General features: G+C 48.9%; 1 annotated feature.

Moving 5' to 3' along the window:
• Positions 7,027–7,546: an enhancer, noted in NCBI's record as "OCT4 hESC enhancer chr7:55304767-55305286 (GRCh37/hg19 assembly coordinates)". NCBI's record gives its function as "activates a minimal SCP1, AML or CMV promoter by ChIP-STARR-seq in naive H9 embryonic stem cells {active_cell/tissue: H9 hESC(naive)}" and the evidence as "EXISTENCE:reporter gene assay evidence [ECO:0000049][PMID:30033119]".

Here is an 8,296-nt window from a genome sequence, read left to right on the forward strand (position 1 = left end):
ATTCTGTGTCTTTTAATTGGGGCATTTAGCCCATTTACATTTAAGGTTAACATTGTTATGTGTGAACTTGATCCTGTCATGATGATGCTAGCTGGTTATTTTGCAGACCTTTTTATGTGGTTGCTTCATAGTGTCACTGGTCTGTGTACTTCAGTGTGGTTTTGTAGTGTCTGGTAATGGTTTTTCCTTTCCATATTTAGTGCTCCCTTCAGAAGCTCTTGCAAGGCAGGCCTGGTGGTGACAAATTCCCTCAGCACTTCCTTGTCTGAAAAGGATTATATTTCTCCTTTACTTATGAAGCTTAGTTTGGTTGAATAAGAATCTGGGTCAGAAATCATTTTCTAAAAGGAGGTTTAATATTGGCCCCCAAAATCTCCTCTGGCTTATAGGGTTTCTGCTGAGAGGTCCACTGTTAGTCTGATGGGCTTCCCTTTGTAGGTGACCTGGCCTTTCTCTCTGGCTGCTCTTAGTATTTTTTCTTTCATTTCAACCTTGGATAATCTGATGATTGTGTCTTAGGGATGACCTTCTCATGGAGTGTGTTACTGGGGTTCTCTGCATTTCCTGAATTTGAATGTAGATCTGTCTTGCTAAGTTGCGGAAGTTCTCCTGGATAACCTGAAATATGTTTTCCAACTTGCTTCTGTTCTCCCCATCTCTTTCAAGTATCCCAATCAGTCATAGGTTCAATCTTTTTACATAATCTCATATTTCCCAGAGGTTTTATTCATCCCTTTTCATTCTTTTTTCTCTATTCTTTTCTGCCTGTCTTATTTCAGAAAGACAGTCTTCAAGCTCTGAGATTCTTTCCTCCACTTGGTTTATTCTACTCTTCTATTAATACTTGTGGCTCCATTGTGACATTCTCGTGTTGTGTTTTTCAGCTCCATCAGGTCAGTTATTTTGCTCTGAAAACGAGCAATGCTGGTTTTCAGTTTCTGTATTGTTTTATTATAATTCTTTGCTTCTTTGTGTTAAGTTAAAACATGCTTTTTTAGCTCAGCAAAGTTTTTTATTACTCACCTTCTGAATCCTACTTCTGTCATTTCAGTCATCTCAGCCTCAGCCCAGTTCTGTGCCCTTCCTGGAGAGGTGTTGCAGTCATTTGAAAAAAAAAGGGACTCTAACTTTTTGAGTTCTCAGCATTTTTGCGTTGATTCCTTCTCATCGTTGCGGGCATATCTACCTTCAATCTTTGAGGTTGCTGACATTTGAATGGAGTCTTTTTGTTGTTGATGTTGTTGATGTTTGTTTTTCTTTTAACAGTCAGGCCACTTTTCCACAGGGCTACTGTGGTTTGCTAGGGGTCCACTCCAGACCTAGCTGCTTCAGTCCTTCCTGCACCTGGAGGTATCACCAGTGAAGGCTGCAAAACAGCAATTATGACAGCCTGCTCCTTCCTCTTGGAGCTCTGTCTCAGGGGGACCCTGACCTGATGTTGGCCCAAACAGTCTTGTAGGAGATGTCTGGAGACCCTTCTTGGGGGGTCTCACTCAGTCAGGAGGAACAGGATCAGGGACCCACTTAAAGAAGCAGTCTGGCTGCCCCTTGGCAGAGCAGGTGCACTGTGCTGAAGGGAACCTCCCTCATGCAGACTGTCTGGACTTTCTAGAACCAGGAGGCTGGAAAAACTAAGAGTTGGCTCAATGGCAGAGACAGAGGCTGCTCCTCCCCCTGGGGGCTCCATCCCAGGGAGATCAGATTTCTGTCCATATAACCCTAGCTAGAGTTGCTGAAATTCCCACAGGGAGGCCCTGCCCAGTAAGGAGGGATGGACCGGGGTCCCACTTAAAGAAGCAGTCTGGCCACAGTCTGGCATAGCAATGTGCCGCATTGTGGGGAGCGCCTCTCAGTCTGGACCACTCAGGCTCCCCAGAGCCAGCAGGCTAGAACAGCTGACTCAAACCAGAGAGATGGTGGCCGCCACTCCCCCCTGGGGAACTCAGTCCATCTTAGGCAGTCTCCAGCTTGCTGCCACTAGCTGTCTAGAATGTCAAGCCAGTGGGTCTTAAATTGTGAGGTGCAGCAGAGGGGCCACAGAATGATGCCACTTGGCTCCCCTAGATTTAGCCCCCTTCCTAGGGGAATTCTGCCTTGCCAGAATTACCGGGGCTAGAGTATGCAAAACTCCTGGGTCTCCACATGTGCATGAGTGGCCACTCCACTGAGACTCCACACAGCTCTGTGCTTTGGACCTAATGCCCCGGTGGAATGGGCTCACGAGGGGATCTCCTGATCTGCAGGTTTGCAAAAATCCATGGGAAAAGCATGGTTTCCCAGACACGGTCGCACAATCACTCACCACCTCCCTTGGCTGGGTTGGGGGCTCCCCTGGCTCTGCCACTCTCAGGAGACCCATACCCCACCCTGTACTTCATTGCTCTCTGTGGGTTGAGCACTACATCTCGTCAGTCCCAATCAGTCCCAGTGTAAGAACCTGGATATGTCAGTTGAAGATGGAGAATTCACTCCTTTTATTTATTTTCATTTTTCAAGACTGTCTTGCTCTATTGCCCAGGCTGGAGTGGCGGATCTCAGCTCACTGCAGCCTCGGCTTCCTGAGCTCAAGTGATCCTCTCACCTCAGCCTCCCAAGTATCTGGGACTATAGGCAGTTACCACCTCGTCCAGCTAATTTTTGTAGTTTTTGTAAAGACAGGATCTCCTTATGTTGCCCAGGCTAGTCTTGAACTTCTGAACAATCCTCCCACTTGAACCTCCCAAAGTGCTAGGATTACAGTTCTGAGCCACTGTGCCCAGCCTTCTCTTTTTATTGACTTATAAAAGTTCATTATTTATTCTGGATTTTCATTTTTAATTTTCTGATCACATGGATTATACATTGTAAATATTATCTTTGGTAAAATGTAATTTTAAATTTTTTACATCAACTTTATTTTTTGATAAATGTGATGCTTTGTACATCTTGCTTTAGAAGGCCCTCATTTTCCCCATAGACATAAATGTTCTCCCATATTCTTGTCTAGCTCCAGGGAACTTTCATTTTTGACTTCATGACTCCAGCAGAAGACTGCCTCTGGCTGCCCCCAATGTGGCTGCTTCTCTCATTCCAGGCCCAACCTTCAGTTGGCATTTCCAGGCCCAAGTCCCAGCCCGCCAGGCCTGCCATCCTCATTGCCATCTGCTCACGTCCACCCTTACAATCGCCTATTGCTCCCAGCATCTCAGCGTGTGATGAAAGGTGGATGGAAGCATTCCCAGTGCCCCCACCGCCTTCAGAATGCAGGCCCTGACTTTCTAGCTCTGGCGAAGAAAAGCCTCCCACCACCCATGGCACCTGGAGACCGAGGAGCAACCTGGGTCTTGAAGGGTGGGAGATGCATGCAATCCCTGGACAGCTCTAAAAGATGCTTCTCTGGTGCTTCCAGGCAGAGAACTAGCAGCAGCGGGTGGTTGCAAGGGTCTGGAAAATCTTGGCGGGCTCGGTCACAGCCTGCACAATCTTTCCCAGAGAATTGCCACAGCCCTGTTGGAAGAATCAGCCCTACCACCAGGCCTCTCTTCTTCCAGGGCCAGCTCCCTCACCCACCGCAGGCCTGGGAAGCCCCTTAGGACTCCCCACTTCTCTGGAGCCTGGGCAGACCTCTTACTACTGCCCTTTTTCCACAGGAGAGAACTCTTTCCTCTGTCCTTGTCTGTCTCTGCTGGGCATCTGACACGTTCACCTGGGCTGCACCTTGAGGAACACTCTGCCTAAGTCCCAGGTCAACAAGGAAGGGAGAAGGTCACTTAGGAATGAATCTGGCACAAATCACAGAAAACAATGTGATTCCAAAACGTTCACGCTTTAAACAAAAAGGGGTTAATTTCCTTACTTAGGATAAGCCCCAAGGGAGTCAGCCCAGGGCAGATGGAAGAGCTCAGCATCGCCCAGAGGCACCGCCCTGACTGTGCCAGCTTTCATCATCGTACCAGCTTGCAAGGTTGCTGCTGCCCCTCAGCTGACAAGTTAGAATTCCAGGCAGGAAGATGAGGGACGAGGAGAGAGGAATGGTGAGTGAACCCAGCCCCGTTGGATCAGAAAACCTAGACGCCGGGTTGTGTATCATCTGCCAGGTCACTGGCCCCAGATAAAGAGAGCTGCCCGAGTTTCGTAGGGCAGCCGCGTTCCTCCAACCTGGGTTGAGGAGGTCACCCTCCCGGGATTAAGGGTTTCCACCAATGACCCTAACAGCTGGGGCTACTGTTAGCAGAAAATAAGAGGGAAGAAATGTAGCTGGGCAGACAGTACCCAGGGCACACACAGGAGAAACCCAAGGGAGAACAGGGCCACGGCAGTGGACACACTCTCTAGGCTGGAGGTCGGGGCCCCATCGCAGCCTCCGTCAGGCAAGGTGGGAGATGGAGGCTGGACATGAGCCTGCGCAGTGGGTCAGGGTGCGTTCCCAGGCTTCTGGGGATGCCAGGGATGTCACACTCCCACAGCTCTGTGGAGCAGAACACCAGGGGGCTAATGGGGGCCCAGAGAGCAGAGTCCAACCCATCAGGAAGGCCCTGGGAAACAGGAGCAGGAGGGTGAAGAGAAGGCCTAGAGAGCAGCCTCGGGAGGAAACTCACAGGCACGGGGCAGCCCAGGCAGGGCTCCAGGCGGAGGTAACCAAACCCAAGGTCCGCTGCTCGCTGCTCGAATCCAAACACACGAGAGAACTGGTGGGAGGAAAAGAGTGCCAGCAAGCCAAGAAGATGGCCAACTAGCATCCTACAGCACCACCTCGAGTCGCTACAAACTTTAGGCTATTTTATGTTAAGGGCAGGAGACAGAGGAGGGGGTTGGGATCAAGAGGTAATGGAGGACCGCAGACACCTGGGAGCCAGCACGGGTCCAAGAAGGTGGAGAATGGCTTTGTCACAGTGCTCTTGGTTACAGTGCTCTTGGTCAGGTCACAGTGCTCTTGGAAATCTTTCACAAAACATAGTTGTTTACATACTTCTCCTTTAGTCCCAAAGCTAGTTTTAAAAACTACATGATTGCTGTTAATTTTCTCTGTACTCTAAAATTATCCTCCCCTACGTGCAAGAATGGGTAAAGACCCCTTAAAAATGGAGTTGTGTTCTTTTGCTGTTTCACTGTCATAGCATTACAGAGGAAAGCCGTGACTTTGGAGACATAGAGGGGCTCCGCATTGCTCCCAGGTGCGCCCCAGGAGTTCTGGGAACAAGATCAGGGCAGGAAGGCCGATTCTAGACCTCACACCCGGCGGGAGCGAGCTCTGCCCTTGCCGGAAGTGACCAGGTTGCGGTTGCGGTTGCAGTTGCAGCTGACCTGCACTAAGGCAGCCCGGCTGCAGAGGGAGAGCCTGGGAAGTGCAGGTAATGCAGTCCTCAGGCCTCCTCCACACCCCATTTCAGTCATGCAGACCCCAAACCCTGCGGGGCTCTGTGCCAGGGGCTTCAGGCCTGCGGTGGCTCTAGCGGGAAGGTGGGGAAGAATACCCTCTTTTCTTGACTCACCATGACCCCCGGCCCAGCCTCCTGATTTGGGTTTGATTTTCTCCATTGTACCAGACTTGGGCACTCTCTGGCTTATTTGTGCATCATCGCCTCCACTCCCTGTGGGAGCGCTGCACTCACGGGGGCAGCCTGGGGTGTGGAAGGCCTGAGAGCCCTGCAGACCGCTCATGCTTCAGGCCCCATGGCCAGGACCTGGAACCCCTTTGCTTTTTCCCTGCCCCCTTCTTCCCACCTAGAATTCTAACGTTTGCCTGGAGGTGCAGCAGCCATCTTGCAACCAGGAGGGATGCCAAGCACCTAGTGTGTTAGTTTTGTTACCTGGAGCCTTTCCTTAAGACTCCTTAGTCCTTCCCAGCTTGCTCTGTTTCCACTCTCTTCCCCCTCAGTCTCTCCAGCTCCTCCCTTTAGTAGCACAGAACAGTGAATAATCACAGTGGTCATTCACTGCAGAACAAGAAATAACGAGGTGCCGCGGCACAGAGCCTCATTTATTTTGGAGTTTTCATTCGTAAACAAGATAGAATTGAGTATCCTCTTGCTAGTAAATTATCTGAAATCATTGGCATAACGCATCTTGCTTAATAAAGACTGCAAGGCTGCTACAAAGTCAGAAGTTCTGTCCAGAAGTTGGTTTGGTATCTTCCTTCTTCCCTACTTTTTTAACTCACCCCCGAATTTACAAACAACACCAATTTTCTGTGCCTCTCCTACACAGCATCCCCCCTGCAGCCCTCTAAACATGGCCACTGTCCCAAATTGGGTGTCTATCATGTTCTTGCTTTTTAAAAACAGTTTTATCACAAATGAATGCATTTCTAAGCAACATGTTTCATTTTGTTTGATTTTTGTTGATTCTTAGTTTAGGTGGTCACCTTTCTCCACTTGAGACTATGCTGGTAAGATTACCCATGTTTTGTCAAAGTACATTGAATTTATTTCCTGGGCTGTAGTTTCGTTTGCATTCAAACAAAAGATGACGAGAATTATAAGCCCCTTCCTCCTGCTTTAGCCTAAGTGGCATTCTGTCCTCCACGGTGAATTTTGCAGATGGCTCACATCATCACAGGCACAGTGTCAGGCCTCACTCAAGGATAGTTTTTTCCGACATCAGGGTATTTCCCCTGCGAGGGAAGCAAGGACTGCCACAGGTGTGAAGGTTGTTTAGTGAAATGAGAGTGATTTTAATAGGTCATAAAAAGTGTTATTGCTTCTCTCATTTGGAATTGCTCTGCAGAAAACAGAAACGATCATTTTATTTCTCAGGAATGCATTTCATTAGCTCTAAGGTGATATCATCATATCGACATAGCCTGTACTGCTAAGAGAGAGGGTGACCCCACGATTTGCTCAGCGGCCCAACACAGAAGGATCTTGTGATCAATTGCATTTCTCTTGGTCCTGAATGCATGTAACTTCAGCCTCAACTCGCTTTCCATATGGTCTCAATAAACAAAATTCAGCAAAAAAATGAGTGCCCTAAGCACTGCAGGCACTAAGCATCCTCTGGAGCAAGAGCTGCGAGATCTGGCCTGGTCCTGGGTTTGTGAGCCATTCGCAGTGTGCCCTGGAGTGGCCCTTCCCCTCTGGCCTCAGTTAGCTCATCTGTAAAATGAGGACACTGGACCAGATGGTCTTCACTAATATCCCTTCCAGCTCCACAATTCCAGAATCTTTCAACTTAGAAAGAAACCCAGAGAGTAGAAACGTGACTGGCGAATTCCAGGGTGGGAAAAGCGTTCCAGCCGGTGGCCTGCACTGCATGCATATTCATGGTGCTCGCAGCAGCCAGAGATGCCCCATTGCTTTATTAATCTGCTTCACTGAGCCCAAGTTTGGGTTGGAGGTAGACCAAGACTAACTGGCAGGTGATGGAACTTCAGTTTTCCTTTCTCCCTAACAAAACAACAAGATCCACTGCCTGGTCCAGCCTGCCCACACGCATTTTGCAATAACAAAGACTCTCTGAGGCAGCTTCGAAAGTAGGAGCTATGCGGACTCTCCAGATTCTAAAGTTAGAAGGTGAAAGCAATCGCCTGCACCTGTCCTGGGATTGAGCATGGCCTCATCTCACAGGAGGACAGGAGCACAGCCCCTCCTCCTGATCTGAGGCCGGGGTTGAGCACAGCTTCATCTCACAGGAGGACAGGCGCACAGCCCCTCCTCCTGATCCGAGGCTCTGATTAAGAATGGCTTCATCTCACAGGAGGACAGGCGCACAGCCCCTCCTCCTGATCCGAGGCTCTGATTAAGAATGGCTTCATCTCACAGGAGGACAGGAGCACACCACCTCCTCCTGATCCGAGGAACTCATCCAGGCTCTGCTACTCACTAATGGGTAGGACCTTGGCAAATCCTGCATCCCCTGTACAGTGAGATGTGGGACCAGAGGGTCCCTAAGGCTACCCCATCTCTAACGGATTGAGATCAGACAACCTGTCTATAATAAAAGAAACAAATGCAGATGCCTATTCAGAGAGATATAAATGTATATACAGGAAAAGAACTTGGAATCGAGATGCTGCCTTCCTCCGTGTCTGGGATATTCATCAAGCACCTGCTCTGTGCTGGACTCAGGCTTTGTGTCCTTCAAACACTATGCCAAGGTTAAGCAGACAGTAATATTATATAACATATGGAATACACAAATATTCCATTTCACAGATGAGGAAACTGCATCTTAAAGACAGTAGTAACTTTCTTAATAACACGTGTATTAGTCACACAAATACAAAATGTCACTGTTAGGAATTGAACCGGGGCCTGACCCAAAGTACAAGCTACATAAACAATAGATCTTGGATGTTTTTGCATGGTGGAAAACACCA

The sequence above is a fragment of the Homo sapiens genome, chromosome 7 (genome assembly GCF_000001405.40).
Source record: "Homo sapiens chromosome 7, GRCh38.p14 Primary Assembly".
Taxonomy (NCBI): Eukaryota; Metazoa; Chordata; class Mammalia; order Primates; family Hominidae; genus Homo; species Homo sapiens.